The 16,116-nt window shown below is 60.4% G+C and overlaps 1 protein-coding gene across 48 annotated transcripts in view, besides 4 other annotated features; it reads left to right on the top strand.

Annotated features, from left to right (window-relative positions):
• The window catches only part of GAK (cyclin G associated kinase), an 83,040-nt gene that overhangs the window by 37,264 nt on the left and 29,660 nt on the right, over positions 1 to 16,116 (top strand). For all 48 annotated transcript variants that reach the window (XM_047450032.1, XM_047450022.1, XM_047450019.1 and 45 more), the window contains 8 exons: positions 1,044 to 1,179; positions 1,564 to 1,676; positions 4,431 to 4,521; positions 6,083 to 6,206; positions 10,967 to 11,016; positions 11,590 to 11,738; positions 12,234 to 12,356; positions 13,013 to 13,146. In XM_047450032.1, coding sequence (XP_047305988.1) covers positions 1,044 to 1,179; positions 1,564 to 1,676; positions 4,431 to 4,521; positions 6,083 to 6,206; positions 10,967 to 11,016; positions 11,590 to 11,738; positions 12,234 to 12,356; positions 13,013 to 13,146 — 920 coding nt within the window. The remainder of the gene's footprint in view (positions 1 to 1,043; positions 1,180 to 1,563; positions 1,677 to 4,430; positions 4,522 to 6,082; positions 6,207 to 10,966; positions 11,017 to 11,589; positions 11,739 to 12,233; positions 12,357 to 13,012; positions 13,147 to 16,116) is intronic.
• Positions 7,247 to 7,746: an enhancer, noted in NCBI's record as "H3K4me1 hESC enhancer chr4:881095-881594 (GRCh37/hg19 assembly coordinates)". NCBI's record gives its function as "activates a minimal SCP1, AML or CMV promoter by ChIP-STARR-seq in naive H9 embryonic stem cells {active_cell/tissue: H9 hESC(naive)}" and the evidence as "EXISTENCE:reporter gene assay evidence [ECO:0000049][PMID:30033119]".
• Positions 7,747 to 8,248: an enhancer, noted in NCBI's record as "H3K4me1 hESC enhancer chr4:880593-881094 (GRCh37/hg19 assembly coordinates)". NCBI's record gives its function as "activates a minimal SCP1, AML or CMV promoter by ChIP-STARR-seq in naive H9 embryonic stem cells {active_cell/tissue: H9 hESC(naive)}" and the evidence as "EXISTENCE:reporter gene assay evidence [ECO:0000049][PMID:30033119]".
• Positions 14,685 to 15,884: an enhancer, noted in NCBI's record as "CDK7 strongly-dependent group 2 enhancer chr4:872957-874156 (GRCh37/hg19 assembly coordinates)". NCBI's record gives its function as "activates an origin of replication core promoter dependent on BRD2, BRD4, P300/CBP, MED14 and CDK7 cofactors, with strong dependence on CDK7, by STARR-seq in HCT116 cells {active_cell/tissue: HCT116}" and the evidence as "EXISTENCE:reporter gene assay evidence [ECO:0000049][PMID:35650434]".
• Positions 15,006 to 15,055: an enhancer, noted in NCBI's record as "active region_21138". NCBI's record gives its function as "activates an Ori minimal core promoter by ATAC-STARR-seq in GM12878 lymphoblastoid cells {active_cell/tissue: GM12878}" and the evidence as "EXISTENCE:reporter gene assay evidence [ECO:0000049][PMID:35858748]".

Here is a 16,116-nt window from a genome sequence, read left to right as displayed (position 1 = left end):
ATGAGTGTGGGAACCCCGGAATTTTGAAAGGAACCTTTATTTATTTATTTATTTATTTATTTATTTATTTATTTGAGACAGAGTCTCGCTTTGTTGCTAGGCTGGAGGGCAGTGGCGCGATCTCGGCGCACTGCAACCTCTGCCTCCCGGGTTCAAGCAGTTCTTTGCCTCAGCCTCCTGAGTAGCTGGGACTACAGGCATGCACCACCACGCCTGGCTAATTTTTGTATTTTTAGTAGAGACGGGATTTCACCATGTTGGCCAGGCTGGTCTTGAACTCCTGACCTTGTCATCCACCCGCCTCGGCCTCCCAAAGTGCTGGGATTACAGGCGTGAGCCACTGCGCCCGGCCTGAACGGAACTTTTTAATCTTAAGAGCCTAGAGTCCGTTTAACACTGTCACCTGGACAGTTCTTTGCGGTGAATAGAAGTGGAGCATCCAGGCCTCCCCGTGCCGTGGGAAGCACGCCGCCAGCTCCGCACAGTCAAGTGATGTTTGTGTAACCACCGACTATACCCCTAGGATCCCCAAGGAAGGAGCCACCCCTCGGCCAGTCACCATGTCTGCGGTGCTCCTCTCACGCCCTTGTCCCCTTGGGCTCGGGCATCACCCCTGCTCTCCCCTCAGACCTGGGAGTCACCCCTGCACTCCCCGCAGGCCCAGGAGTCACCCCTGCGCTCCCCACGGCTCCGACGTCACCCCTGCATTCCCCGCAGGCCTGGGTGTCACCCCTGCACTCCCCACAGGCCCAGGCGTCACCCCTGCGCTCCCCACGGCCCCAACGTCACCCCTGCGCTCCCCGCGGCCCGGGTGTCACCCCTGTTGTTCCCGCAGGCCCCGGTGTCACCCCTGCATTTCCCATGTTCCCGATATCACCCCTGTGTTCCCTGCAGTCCCCAGTGTCACCCCTGCGCTCCCCACGGCTCCGATGTCACCCCTGCATTCCCCGTGGGCCTGGGCATCACCCCTGCTCTCCCCGCAGGCCCAGGCGTCACCCCTGCGCTCCCCGTGGGCCTAGGCATCACCCCTGCTCTCCCCGCAGGCCCTGGGCTGCATCTTGTACCTGCTGTGCTTCCGGCAGCACCCTTTTGAGGATGGAGCGAAACTTCGAATAGTCAATGGGAAGTACTCGATCCCCCCGCACGACACGCAGTACACGGTCTTCCACAGCCTCATCCGTAAGTCCCGGTGGAATGCGTGCGTGGGGCAGGACCCTGGAGCACAGACCCCGCGTGGCTCTGGAGACCCCGCTCCCCTTGGGGCACTGCTCACCTGGCCCCACTCCCGCCCGTCACCATAGTTTTGACAACATCCCTGGGGGGGGGGTTTCCAGAGAGCTCCCCTGCCGCCCACCCCGCTGGTGAATTTGCGGTGCTCTGAGTGGTGATTTTTGATCATTTTGTTCGGTTTTTGTTCTTCCCTTTGCCGCTCCCTTCTTGCTTCTGACGTCACTGATGTGTGTAGAGGGAGTGGCCTCTGGTGGTCTGTGACCTCTGCCAGTGCAGGGGGTGCTGACCCGCCTGGGGAACCGTGGGGCCGAGCGCGCTGTGCTTCTGCTGCAGGCGCCATGCTGCAGGTGAACCCGGAGGAGCGGCTGTCCATCGCCGAGGTGGTGCACCAGCTGCAGGAGATCGCGGCCGCCCGCAACGTGAACCCCAAGTCTCCCATCACAGAGGTGAGGGAGGCACACGTGAGCCCCAAATCCCCCGCAGTGGTGAAGGAGGCACACATGAGCCCCAGATCCCCCGCAGAGGGGAGGGAGGCACATGTGAGCCCCAGATCCCCTGCAGAAGGGAGGGAGGCACACGTGAACCCTAAGTCTCCTATCACAGAGGGGAGGGAGGCACACGTGAGCCCCAGATCCCCCGCAGAGGGGAGGGAGGCACATGTGAACCCCAAGTCTCCTATCACAGAGGGGCGGGAGGCACACCTGAACCCCAAGTTTCCTATCACAGAGGGGAGGGAGGCACATGTGAGCCCCAAATCCCCCCACAGAGAGGAGGGTGGCATGTGGCTGTGCTGCTTCGTCCGGACCCTGCACCCTGGGGGTCTCTGCCCACTTCAGTGGGGAGCCACAAGCTCTTGAGGGCCCTGGGCTCCTGCAGGAGCAGGGTCACCACCGCAGCCCAGGGCCGAGACCCCGGGGGCATGCTGGGACCATTGCCAAGGTCTTCGCACTCTGCACGCGCTCCTCTGGCCTCCTTGAGGTTTGCAGGCGCCTTTCTAGATTCTTCCCCTGACAGGACAGCATGAATTGCTCCTGTGTCTTTGTTTCTGGGGTCTGGTGTCCAAGCCAGGTCAGCCAGCCCTCAGCTCTGGGCGTCCTGGGGTGTCCTGAGTTGCTCTGCGTCTGTGTTTCTGACCCTCAGCTCAGCTCTGGGCGTCCTGGTTGCAGTTGTGTCAGGGCTGGGCCTGGCCAGGGTCCACTCCCAGGCACCGGTGGCTGCTGGCAGCATCAGGGCCTGGGGGCTGGGAGACTGAGGCCCACAGGGCCGTGTGCTTTGTGGAAGTGTGAGGCCTGGGAGGGAGCAGCACGTGTTGGCTGGAAGATGCTTTCCTCAGAGTCTTTTCTGACCCAGCCGTGGACAGGGTGCAGCATCTCCATCACCAGATCCTCGAGGCAGAGCAGACACGCGGCCCGGCCCTCACCCACGGGGAGCAGGGAGGCCCCTGGGCATCCCAGCTCAGGGCCCAGTCAGGACACGCAGGGCCCCTCTGCAGATCTCGCAGGGGTCTGTGTCCAAGGACCCAGGACTCTTGGCTCCTGCATTTTGTCCCCTTTTCAGCCCTTGGGTCGTTTCCACTCCCTGGTAGCTGGAAGCCGGAACTTCCAGGGGCCACTGCAGTGGAGCTGACCCAGGCGGTGGGTGTGGAGCGTGGGGAGAAGGTCAGAGCTGCTGCCCGGAGTCCCTGTCTGAGGACAGGACCCTGTGGGACAAGGAAGGTTTGGGCTGTGTGGAGGGTTTGCAGTTCCTTGGGGGCCGCGTGGGTACAGAGACCTGGGAGCAGGGAAGTGCTGGGAAGCCCAGTGCAGACGGGGAGAGGCTGTGGTGCCCCTCTCTGGCGGCCATCATGGTGGGTGCACCAGCAGAGGGAGCCCTGGTGCTGGGTGCTGGAAGCATTTTGAGGTGTGGGGCGCTCTGAGGCGGGAGAGTTGATGTCACTGGTGGCCTCTCAGCAAGCTTCCCTGGGGCTGTCAGAGAGCGGCAGGAAGGGATCACTCCTGGGCCGTCCTGCTCTTTAGCAGCCTGGGCCTCGTGTCCCCCTCGCTTGGTGGCTCTTTACAGAAAATGCCTGCCCACTCCCCCGGAGGTCACAGAGGACAGTGGGCTCGCAGGGGGGTGTGGGCCTCTTGCTTTGTCGAGTGCGCTGGAGGGATTCTTGATGGGGCGGGAGGAGGTGCCGCTGGGCAGATGGGCAGAATCAGGCCCCTAGTGATGGGGCGGGGTCCTCAGTGCTTCTCATCTGAGTGCTTCTAGGCCGGGACCCCGTGGGGACAGACGTTAGACCCCTGCTTAAGCCAACCGACTCCCCCAGAAAACACAGTCCATGATGGAGCTGAGTTCACAATGAAATAAAATACTGCCCCCAGGAGGTAGTGAGCCTCACAGGGTGGCCCCCAGAACCCAGGAGCTGAAGTGATGGAACATCCTGGGACAGACAGGCCATGTGTCTGCTTAATATGGTTGGGCATGCGAGGTGGAGGCTGCAGTGAGCCCAGATCATGCCACTGCACTCCAGCCTGGGAGACAGAGTGAGACTCCGTTTCAAAAAAAAAAAAAAGAAAAAAAGCCTGGGTGCAGTGGCTCACGCCTGTAATCCTAGCACTTTGGGAAGCCGAGGCAGGCGAATTGCCTCAGCTCAGGAGTTCAAGACCAGCCTGGGCAACGTGGTGAAACCCCATCTCTACTAAAATACAAAACAAATTAGCCAGGCGTGGTGGCGCATGCCTGTAGTCCCAGCTACTCTGGGAGGCTGAGGCAGGAGAATTGCTTGAACTCATGAGGCGGAGGTTGCGGTGAGCTGAGATCGTGCCACAGCCCTCCAGCACTGCAGCCTGGGTCACAGAGCAAGACTCTGTCTCTACCAAAAAAAAAAAAAAAAATGTTGGTTGGACAGACTGGGAAGAGAGAGAAAAGGAAAAGGAACAGAAGCTGTAGCCCAAGAGTCTGAAAAGCTGGGCTGGAGTGCTGAGCACCTGCAACAGCCCCAAGCGAGGCAGGCCGCGGGGTGAGGGGATGAGGGCTGCGTGCGTTTGTTGAGTTCCAGCTGATGCTTCAGCCTGTGGGAAGTTCCTCCCTTGCACTGTGTCATAGATCAGGGGGCAGAAGGATGGGCTCTGAGGGCACCCATACCGTACCTCTGCCCGACGTGGGCAGGCGTGAGTTGTCAGTTTAGAGAACTGACCTCTGCATTTTCATTGTCACAGCTCCTGGAGCAGAATGGAGGCTACGGGAGCGCCACACTGTCCCGAGGGCCACCCCCTCCCGTGGGCCCCGCTGGCAGTGGCTACAGTGGAGGTGAGTGCCCTGTCCTGTGCCCGCCACCTGTCCCTCGCTCCTGCTGCACCCCGGGCACCCGCAGCACATTGGGATGGAGTCTGGGGTCCTTCTCTCCCGGGGCCTCCTCTCCCACCAGAGATGACTGTGAGGTCAGGGTCCCTGAGCACACCCTCAGGTTCGGCAGTTCCCTGGGGCTCACAGAGCTCAGCAAAGCTGGTGTCTTGGTGCAGTTCAGGAGGGGGTCAGGATTCGGACTAAAGCCAGCCAAGGGAAGAGGCTCCAGGGCAGGGCCCAGGAGACCGGGCCCGAGTGACCAGGCGGCCTCGCTCAGGGGTTATGTGGGAGGCAGCCTGCGCCGTGGCCAAGACCCCAGCATAGATCACATTGTCGTGTCTGGCACAGCCCAAGGCCCCAGGGAAACAGACACCCCTTTTGGGGCTGGAGGGGGCATCCCAGGTTCCTTCCCAGGAGCTGGGAATGAAGGGCCAGGCCTGCTGTGGGCAAGGTGAACCATTTACTACAGTAGCGACCCTGAGGCCAGGGGGCAGGAGCAGGCATTGGACAGTGGAGGGCGGTGGGGGAAGACAGTTCTGCCGCTAGTGTGAGGTGGCCCCTTCTGCCGCATGAGGAGTGGGCACCTGTGATGGGCCTGGGTGTCCCTGGAGGGCCCTCAGCTGGTGAGGAGTGGAGAGGGCCCTGGAGACAGACGCTGCATGCTCTTGGAACTCCGTGCCGGGAGTGTTCCAGAAGGTTCCGGGTGAGCCGTCGAGGACATGGCCCTGACAGGCAGCGGCTGGGTCTGCAGCTCTGCATGGCGCTGACCCCTCCCGACCTCGCCCCGCATCCCCACTGCGGTGTGGGAGGTTTCACCTGGGTCCTTCACCTCCGCTTCCCAGGGAGGAGCTCAGCTCCATGTCTGGGGCACCCCGGTCCGTGCAGTGTGGGTCCCACACATGCAGGTGTAGTGGCTGGCTGGGTCTCTGCTGGCTGGAGGAAGGGTGAGTCCTCGAGCTGCTGGGTTCTGCAGTGCCCCCATCTGCTCGGTGCTGCCTGGGCCTCGGTCTCCTGTCTGCATGAGGGACTTTGGCCAGGTGTTTTTTTTTTAACACCACTTGTGCCACCAAAGCCGCCTGTGAAGACCTCACTCGCAGGACCCACCAGGCCAGGGGCCACCACTCTGCCTTCACGTCCAGGGTCATGGTGGCCTGAAGCTGTGGCCGTGAGGCCGGACTATCCCCACAGACAGAGTCCCAGCCCCAGCTGTGCTGAGGCGGCCACATAGCCCTTCCGCACCCAGATTGACCATTTCCTGGGTCTCTGGAAAGGCTGAGGACAGGGTAGACCTGCCAGTGCTGAGGCCTGGCTTCCCGCTGGGTACGTGTGGGTCAGGGGCCTGGCCATACCACCCACTCCCTGCTCCTGCTGCCTGGGCCCAGCCAGCAACCTGCACCTGGGGAGGTGGGACCGAGCGCCTGGGGAGGTGGGACCGAGCGCCTGGGGCCTGGGCCCAGCCAGCAACCCGCACCTGGGGAGGTGGGACCGAGCACCTGGGGCCTGCTGAGACTGTGTCTCCCTGCAGGCCTGGCGCTGGCGGAGTACGACCAGCCGTATGGCGGCTTCCTGGACATTCTGCGGGGTGGGACAGAGCGGCTCTTCACCAACCTCAAGGACACCTCCTCCAAGGTCATCCAGTCCGTCGCTAAGTGAGTGTGAGGCTCCAGAGCCCTGGACCTGCCGCACGCTCGTTCCAGGCTGCAGCCCCGGCCCTTGCTTCCTGGCTGCGGTGGAACAGCTGGTCATCAGGCCCCACAGGGGCCCCTGAGGCAGTGGGACAGCATCACCCGCTTCTCCCAGGGAGTCGGAATGAGCCCAGCATCCCACAGAGCCAGGCAGATCCCTTTCCTTTCATCGCCTGGGGGGCAAGGCCCTGCTGAGGAGATGCCTGGGCCCTCCCCTCCCTTGCTGCAATGTCGCCCCTCACTCTGGGGCGTTCCTGGCTTGTTCCCGGGACTCTGTAAATTGGGTGAAACCTCGGTGGTGGCGCCTCACTGAGCCAGTCCTTGAGTTAAAGCCCTAGTTACTCAGACTTAGACCAGGTGAGTCCCAGCCTGTGGTGGGAGAAAGTCTCCCTCTGGGTGGGCTGTCCAAGGGCGCGTCTGTGCGGGGGTGGCCCCGACATCGGCCCACAGGCCCGGCAGCCTCTGCTCACGGAACACTGGGAATGTTCCAGAGTGCGGCCCCTCTGCGTTGCGGGGTCCATGCGCTGGCTCTTCTGAGGAGCTGAACGCCCAGGAGCACGCTGGCTGCTCATCTGGCCCTGCGGTCGCACCAGCTCAAGGGCGTCGGCTATGTCAGGAAACAGCCTAGGAGCTGGGCTGGACTGGTGCCCGTGATGCAGGAACTGCGGCCCCTGGTGGGCCCACGTTCCTTCCACAGCTGGCGACACCTTCGGGCTTTTTCTTATGTTTTTTGTTCTGTGCTGTGATCACTGTTTTGTGTCCCCAGCACCAGGTAGACGTGTGTGCACTTGTGCCTGCATGTACCGCAGCGTCTGCACATGTGAGCGTGGGTGCATGTGTCTTTGAGCATGTGTGCATGTGAGGGAATGGGTGTGTTAACATACATATGTGAACATGTGTGCATGTGTGTGTAAATGCTGGTGTGAGTATGTGCATAGGCGTGTGTGATTGCTGGTATGAGCATGTGTGCTGGTGCTTGTGAGTCCTTGTGCTTGTGAATCCTTGTGTGAGCTGAGTGCTCGTATTGTGTGCAGGCACGTGTATGAGCACATGTGCATGTTGGAGCATGTATGCGTGTGTGCATGTGTATGCATGTGTAGGAGTGCTTGTGAGTGCGCGTGAGCTGTGTGCATGTGTACACGTGTGCGAGTGCCTGTGAGTGCACGTGAACTGCATGCATGTGTACGCATGCGCGCGAGTGCCTGTATGAGCCGCGTGCATGTGTACGCATGAGTAGGAGTGCCTGTGAGTGTGCGTGAGCTGCGTGCATGTGTACACACGCATGCAAGTGTGTGTGAGCCACATGCATGTGTACGCATGCACACAAGTGCCTGTGTGCGTGAGCTGCGTGCATGTGTATGCATGTGTGCGAGTGCCTGTGAGTGCATGTGAGCCGCATGCATGTGTGCACATGCGCGCGAGTGCCTGTGCCTGAGCTGTGTGCACATGTATGCATGCGTAGGAGTGCCTGTGAGTGAGCATGAGCCGCGTGCATGTGTACACGTGTGAGTGCGCGTGAGCCGCGTGCATGTGTACACGTGAGTGCGCGTGAGCCGCGTGCATGTGTACACGTGAGTGCGCGTGAGCCGCGTGCATGTGTACGCGTGAGTGCGCGAGCCGCGTGCATGTGTACGCGTGTGTGCGCGTGAGCCGCGTGCATGTGTACGCATGTGTGTGAGCCGCGTGCATGTGTAAGCGTGTGTAGGAGTGCTGTGCGAGCGCCTGTGTGTGTGAGCTGTGTGCCTGTGAGTGCGTGTGGGCCGCGTGCATGTGTAGGAGTGCTGTGTGAGTGCCTGTGTGTGTGAGCTGTGTGCCTCTGTGTGTGCTGCATGTTTGGCTGTGTGGTTCCATTACCTGTGTGCCTTGTCCTTGTGCAACCTTTTGGAAAGAAACCTGCTCTTAGTGGGCCTGCATATCCCCAGAGCAGGACGTGAGCCCACTCGCACCTCTGGGCACCTCCTCTGTGACGCCTCCTGCCTGAGTTGTGGCTGACAGAAGATCAGAGGCAGCTCTGTCTGTCTGGTGCCAGCGCACCGCCCACTGGGCCCAGGGCTGTGGCTCCTGCAGGGTCCTGACAGGTGACACTGCGTGTGGAGCGTCAGCAGGGCTAGCCATGGACCCAGGGGGGTGAGAGACTCTCCAGCGTCATCTTGGTGAGAGTGATGTTGGGATCAGAGTGGAAACAAGACAGAGAGGATGCGGCAGCAAAGCCATAAGTGAAAGTCACTAGGAACGGTCACTTTCGGCATCAGTGAAAATGGTCTCCATGGCCGCAGCACATTGTGGGGACAGGCAGAGTGGAGTCAGCAGAGGGAGGAGGCATGTGGGGCGTTCAGGGAGCCGGGCACAGCTCCAGAGTCCTCCCTGGGGGACTCCAGGCCACGCTCCCTCCCCAGCAGCTGTGGGGATGGTGGGAGCTGCTGTCTGCTGGAAGCCTAAGGCCGCAGGGGCTGGTTCTAGAAATGGCTCTGCTGGGACCCATGGGTTCCAGGCCCTAGGAGGACACAGTTTGGCTTGAGCAGGCGCTGCTTGCATGGCACTCAGGCACAGCTAGCTGCTGCTTGTTAGGGGATGGTGGGAACCCTCCTGACACCCCCAGGTTCCAGCTGAGGGCAGCCCTGCTGTTTGTTTTGCTCTGCCTTCTGTTCACATCACGTGCTTGAGGCAGATGAAGCTGCATAACCTCGTGTTTGTAAAGTTGACTTAGAAGCAACAGTGAGTTCTGGTTGGGCCTGGAGGCTCAAAAGATGGCTGGGCACGGTGGCTCGTGTAATCCCAGCACTTCGGGGGGCCGAGGAGGGAGGATCACTTGAAGATTGAGACGAGCCTGGACAACACAACAACACAGCAAGACCCTGTCTCTACAAAAATAAAAAATTAGCTGGGCGAGGTGGCGTGCACCTGTGGTCCCAGCTACACTGGGGCCTGAGGTGGGAGGATCGCTTGAGCCCAGGAGGTTGAGGCTGCAGTGAGTTGTGATTGTGCCACTGCACTCTGGCCTGGAGTGAGCAAGACCCTGCCTCAATTTAAAAAATGAAAAAAAAAAAAGGACAGTGAATTCATTTGTGCTTCTGGCTCTCCCCCACGGACAAGCCCAGGAGTCAGGACCTGGGTGGCCATGAGCCCCTGGCTGCCCTGGTGCTTGCTGTTCTGAAGCCAGGGCCTCGGGGCCTGAGCCCTGTGTCTGGGCCCTGGTTTCTGTCCCGTCAGCATCCGGTGCAGCCCTAGCACACACACACCTGTGGTACACGTGCCTGAGGCCTACACAGCCAGGTCCATGGGGCCCCCGCAGGGCTGCTGGGGTGGGTGAGATGTGCGTGGATCCTGTGGCACTCAATGCCCACCTTTGCTTAAGGCGTGTCAGCTTGCTGTGCTTGCCGCTGCCTGCCGTGGTACAGGAGCAGTGGGGGTTTCACCATGTTGGTCAGGCTGGTCTCAAACTCCCAACCTCAGGTGATCTCTCTGCCTCGGCCTCCCAAAGTGCTGAGATTACAGGCATGAGCCACCGCACCTGGCCCCTATTTTTGTTTTTCTACCGGTGATTAGATTATAGGTCCAGTAGCCATGCTTTGTGTGGCCTGTTTGTCTCTTGCTGCAAAAGTGGCCAAGCGTCAGGCTCACCGTGCCTCCCCGTCTTCCCTTGTTGCTTTGGAAGACCCGCATCCTGTGTCAGCACCTGCTCGGTGGGTTTAGACGCCTTTTAAAACGTTTGAACGCACGGAAGACCCGCATCCTGAGTCAGCACCTGCTCGGTGGGTTTAGACGGCTTTTAAAACGTTTGAACGCACGGAAGACCCGCATCCTATGTCAGCACCTGCTCTGCGGGTTTAGACGGCTTTTAAAACGTTTGAACGCATGGTCACTTTCAGGCGATGGTTCGGTCGTGTGTATTTGGGTCATTCATCTCTCTGGACCTTTATCCAGGCTTTCCTCTGATGGGGACAGCACCTCTGCGATGTGCCTAGCTGAGGTTGCTCCTAGCCCAGCCTTTCTGGTCCCCGCAGCCTCCGGCCTGCTCTGTCCTGGGAGGGAGGCTCCCTTCTGCTCCTTCCCTCACAAGAACAGCTTGGCCATTCTTACACAGCTGCTGCTGCCAGTGAATTGTGGGATAAACCTGTCAGGGTCCTTGCAGAGTTATTGAGGGTTTTGATCTCTGTGTTACCGATTCCGTGGACCCAGTGTTGGGGGCAGTTGGTCTGTAGAGAGTTGGCTGTGGCCACAGCAGGGGCTTCTAGGCACTCAGGGCAGGGGGCCCTCTCTGCCTCCAGCGGCGTCTGCTGGAGTCGCACTGCTACAACCACCAGGCCTGGGCAGCGCGTGGAGCCTGGCATGACCCGTGACCATCGTCCAAGCCACCCTTGCTCTCCAGCCCTCCCCTTCCACCGGTGTTGCCATCCCTCTCCCAGCCCACTCCTGGGCCGTGCCTCCCTGGAGAGCGCAGGGGAAGGGGCAGTCAGACAGCGGATGTCTCTCCTGTCTCACCCATGCCTCCACCAGCTGCAGGCTGTCATTTCCATCCGTTTCTGATGTAGGGGTCAGCTCCACAGCACGCACACAGCCGGGAAGCTGCCCACACGCCTGTGCACACACACGTTCCTCCTGGGATGCGGCCTCTACAGTGAGAGCCCCACGGCTTCTCCAGGCCTCGGGCTCTGGCTTAAGCCCTGTGACCTAACTGCGGAGTGTTTCTTGTCATAACCAAGTTCTCTTCTTTTTAATTCCAGTTATGCAAAGGGTGACCTGGACATATCTTACATCACATCCAGAATTGCAGGTATGCGTGCCACATGAGGCTGTGGGACGCGCCCCGGCCCTTCCCTGTGTGCCCAGTGAGTCCCTGTTGTGTGTCAGGGCACAGGTGCCTCTGCTCCAGCCTTCTCTGTGGCCACAGACTCACAGGGGTGACCTGGGGCCCCTTGGCAGGCAGGCGGCCTGTGCTCAGCACCTCCAGGCGCAGCAGTGGACAGGGTCAGCGCCAGCCTGGCCTCCCATGGCTCCCTGAGGTCATGCCAGGAACAACACAAGGCCGTGTCCGTGGAAAACCAGGGCCTCTGTGCACCAGGCATCCCAGTCACTCATCCCGACACCTGGAGACAGGGCAGGTGTCAGAAAGCTGTCTCAGGAAGTCCCAGCCACCGGCTGATGGGCGTGTGGCTGGGTCCATGCTCCTAGGTCCACCCAGGCTGGGAGTCCACGGAGGGTGAGGGGGCCGGCTGTGTGGGCAGTGGCTGGTGGAGCTGCCGGAGGCTGCGCTTGCCCGGGGGCGTCAGGAGCAGCGAGGCCGCAGCAGCAGCCTGGCCACGAGGTGCGCATCTCCCAGGTGCTGACGCAGGTCTGCTTGTTTCAGTGATGTCATTCCCAGCAGAAGGTGTGGAGTCAGCGCTCAAAAACAACATCGAAGATGTGCGGTTGTTCCTGGACTCCAAGCACCCAGGGCACTATGCCGTCTACAACCTGTCCCCGAGGACCTACCGGCCCTCCAGGTTCCACAACCGGGTGTGTGGCCACAGGCTTTGTCTTGGTGCCACTCTGGAGCTTCCTTCCGCTCCAGTGCAGGGGCATAGCTGAGGGCTTTGGCCAGGGTGGGGCTGTGATGGGGGCGGCCGGAGGTCTCCTGAGGGGCTGCAGAGCGTGGGACAGGAGGGGGCGAGGTGGGGTCTCTGTTGCTCTGAGGATGCCGCTTGCCGGGAACTCTGGAGGCCCCAGCTCCTCACTGCTTCCCACCAGCCAGAGGGTGCTCGAGGCCGAGGCATTCCTTCCAGACACGACACTTGTCAGTATGCAAAGGGACCCAAAGCCCAGGAACAGCTGACTGAGCTCTGTCTGCAAGGCCAGTGGCAGCCCTGGTGCTCAGGTCTCGCGCAGGTGGACGCCTGTTCATGACACCAGCTGGCGGAGGCCCCCGCACTGCAGGCAGGCTGTCCCTCCTAGCTGACCAAGGCTGGGGCGGGGCTCCTCTGCCGTCCGTGCCACCGTGCCCTGTCCCCACAGGTCTCCGAGTGTGGCTGGGCAGCACGGCGGGCCCCACACCTGCACACCCTGTACAACATCTGCAGGAACATGCACGCCTGGCTGCGGCAGGACCACAAGAACGTCTGCGTCGTGCACTGCATGGTGAGCTCGAGGGCCGTGGGCTGGCGCCGTCTTCTGTCAAAGTTCATTATTTCATGCATAGTTCAACAGGATCTGAGCGCCAGTCATGAGCTGGGGCCTGTTCTTCACCCTGGGACACGGAAGAAAGTCCCTGTGCTTGGTGTCTTTGGGTCTGGAGGGGACAGATGACAGATGGCCCCGCCCTTCCCTCCCCATGTGGCCCTTCCTGGCCTTGACCTGCATGCCCGTGTGGAGGCCACTCCGCTGTGTGGGGAGCCCACCTCCCCTCCTGCTCGGTGGCCACCTAAGAGTCACTTCCAGTTTCCCGATCTGCAGCTCGAGGCTTAGTGGTGCTTGAGCCTCCCAGGGTGTGGCAGCTGCCACTGTGGGTGATGGAGTTGAGGTTTCCATGAGGGGTCTTTTGCGGGGTACGGGGCACCAGCAGAGCCTGTTGGAGTGGCCCTAGCCCTGTTCTTCGTTAGGGAACCTTCAGTCTCTGTTGGGCTCCATTCTTGCCTCGGCAGGCACGTTATGTAGCTCCCTAAACATATCCCAGCTTCAGAGAGGAACAGCCCTGCGTCCCTGCAGCCACAGGGTGGGTAGGATGCCCGAGGACCCCGCGAGCCCTTGTCCTGCATGAGTGCGAGGCGCACGCGAGACGTGTCTGTCTGTCCTAGGACGGGAGAGCCGCGTCTGCTGTGGCCGTCTGCTCCTTCCTGTGCTTCTGCCGTCTCTTCAGCACCGCGGAGGCCGCCGTGTACATGTTCAGCATGAAGCGCTGCCCACCAGGCATCTGGCCATCCCACAAAAGGTACTGCGTGGCCCTCCGGGGACAGGGGACAGCTCTGTGGGCCCGTGTGGCACTGCCGCCCCCGCTGTGGTGTCTCCTGGAGGGCCAGTCGGTGCCGCTGCAGGCGCTGGTGGGAAAGGCAGGCCCGGCCTCGCGGAGCCATGGCTGAGCCCTGGGCTTACGGCCGCAGAGCCCGGGGAGGATGGGCCCTCAGCCGCGGTAGTCCTGACTGCTGTGGGGCAGCACCTGCCCAGCTTGTGCATGGATCCTAGGTTCTCTGACAAATGCCATGTATGTGGTGGGCTCTGGTGGATAATGCACGTGAAAATGCCGTGTGGAGCACCTGACACAGGTGCCGTGTGGAGCACCTGACGCTGCTCAGACATGAGTACAGTCACAGCGTGTTTAGGGCCCTGCCAAATACAGGCTTCTGTGCCGCTCCACCTCAGCGCGCAGCAGGCTCTCCCTGGCCGTGTGGAGGAGGCTGTTTCTCAAACGGGAGTGTGGTCACAGCGTGTTTAGGGCTCTCCCTGTTTCTCGGGGCTGCAGGTGTCCACGCCCGAGGAGTCCACCCCAGCAGAAAGCCTCCCCTGGCCTTGGTCTCCATGAGGACCTGGTGAGGCTGGAGCAGCCTCCTAGCCTCTGAAAGAGCAGGTCTTGACCTGGACCACAGAGGCCCCAAGGGTTAGGGCCCAGGAGCAAAGGCCGGCCCCGTGGCCCCACCGTGGCGGGAGGGAAGAGGAGGGACCCAAGCGTCAGGGGACTCCCCATTCTTTATCCCCTCTGGATGGGGCGCACAGCCTGTGGACGGGGCGAGGGTCAGGAGGCCATTCCTGCTGCTGTGGATCCCCAGGGAGGGCCCCACCTCGTTTGCTCACAGCCTTGGGGGGAGGAGATCATTGCCGCCCCATCCAGCTTTGTCTTCTGTGTGACCCCCGGCAAGAGGAGTGCAAAGTTGGGAGCCCCTCCACACATTGAGCTGAAAGCCATTGGCACCCCCAGGCCAGGTGCGGTGGGGCCTGTTCAGCAGGGGGCGTCTGAGAACCAGGGAGTCTCTTTCCCTGTGGCATGTGGCTGGGCTTCCATGACCCCCAAATCCCACAGCTCCTTCCTTGGAGGAGCAGAGAGATGTGCAGAGTGCTGCTCCCACCGGGCAGCTAGCTGGACCAGCTTCAAGTTCATGGCCTTTTCACATCACTGGCCCAGAATCTAAGGAGAGTCAGGTGCCTGTGGGAGGAGGTGTGTGTGTGCTGTCTGGGGTGGACGTAACTGGACCCCAGAAGAGAAGGAGGCCAGAAAGAGTCCAACCGGTGGAGGCCAGGTGTCTCAGTGGGCGAGTGAAGCCTTCAGGGTTGCAGGACTGGAAGGGTCCTTGCCCTCTGGAAGGCACAGTCTCTGTGGGCACCCACAGGACAGATGGGAGAGTGAGGGCCGGGCAAGGGGGCGCAGCTACTATAAGGGAGGCCCAGACCTGGCCGAGACCCTTTCTTCTGCCTCCAGATGGAGGAGACGAGAGAAAGAGCTGCACTCTGTGACTCTGGGGGAAACTGAAGTAACTAATTGATGTGCTGAGGACGCTCATGCAGAGTGCACGGTCCAGTGGGGCATTCGTCAGAGCCGTGGAAAGAGGACCCTCATGCAGGGTGCGTGGTCCAGTGATCCACATGTCAGAGCTGTGGAGAGAGGACCCTCATGCAGGGTGCACGGTCCAGTGGGGCGTTCGTCAGAGCTGTGGAGAGAGGACCCTCATGCAGGGTGCATGGTCCAGTGGTCCACATGTCAGAGCCATGGAAAGAGGACCCTCATGCAGGGTGCGTGGTCCAGTGGTCCACATGTCAGAGCTGTGGAAAGAGGACCCTCATGCAGGGTGCATGGTCCAGTGGGGCATTCGTCAGAGCTGTGGAAAGAGGACCCTCAGGCAGGTGCGCGGTCCAGTGGGCCACTCTTCAGAGCCGTGGAAATGCCAGGAAATAAGCAAATGGAAATCCCCGAAATGAGAACGCCTTCGACATCGCTGAGGCTGAGTCAGTGGCCTTTGGAGCCAGGTCGAGAGATACTGAAACTGAATCACAGAGAGAAAGCGTGGGGTAGAACAAGCACCCAAGAGCTGCCTCCACCTCAGGCAGGGGCACACACACGTGGAGCCCAGAAAGGGAAGAGGGAAGCGGGAGCAGTGAAGAAATCATGGCTGAGAATTTCCCAGAATGAGTAACAGATACCAGTCCACAGGTTCAAGAAGCTCAGAGGTCACCAAGCAGGATGAAAGCAAGATGAACACATGAAAACCCACTCGGGTGCATACCGGTCAGAACTCCTGCAAACCGAGCACAGAGGAAGTGTTGGAGGTGGCCAGAAGAAGATGCATCAGGTACAAAAAGAAAGATGTCAGCCGCAAGGTTCTCGTCAGAAAGCCTAGAACAAACAGTAAGGGTTTTTCTTCGGTGCTGTAATTAAGAAGTCAACAGGAAGTAAAAGGAAAACATAAACCTTGTCAAGAGAAGGCGAAAAGAAGAAAAAAGAAACCAAGAACAGATCAAACAAGTAGGAAACAGCCAGCAAGATGGTAGATTTTAATCCAGCCACATCAGTGTTCAGGCTGAACATGAGTGGTTTTGTTTAAAAGACAGGCATTGCCATATGGGACAGAAACGCACAGCTCGGCCATACACTGCAGGAAGTCCTCTTTCAGCACGGAGGCAGAGGTGGGTTCAGAACAGGATGGTGGGGGAAGAGCGTACTAGTCATTGCTACATGACCCGACACAACACACTCGGGCTTAGAACCACACACATCCATTCTCTCGTGGTCTCCCTGGACCTTGAGGCTTAGCTGGGCCCTCTCCTCCGTTCAAGGTGTTGGCCGCACTGACTCTGAGAAAGCCGATTTCTCTTTCATTTCTGAATCTGCTTCCTTGGCCACTCGGGCTGTTGGCAGGATTTATTTGTTGTGGCTGAAGGACCGGCTGTCCTGGCTCCCTGCTGACTGAGCTGG

The sequence above is a fragment of the Homo sapiens genome, chromosome 4, assembly GCF_000001405.40.
Source record: "Homo sapiens chromosome 4, GRCh38.p14 Primary Assembly".
Taxonomy (NCBI): domain Eukaryota; kingdom Metazoa; phylum Chordata; class Mammalia; order Primates; family Hominidae; genus Homo; species Homo sapiens.
This window is presented reverse-complemented; position numbering and strand designations above follow the sequence as displayed.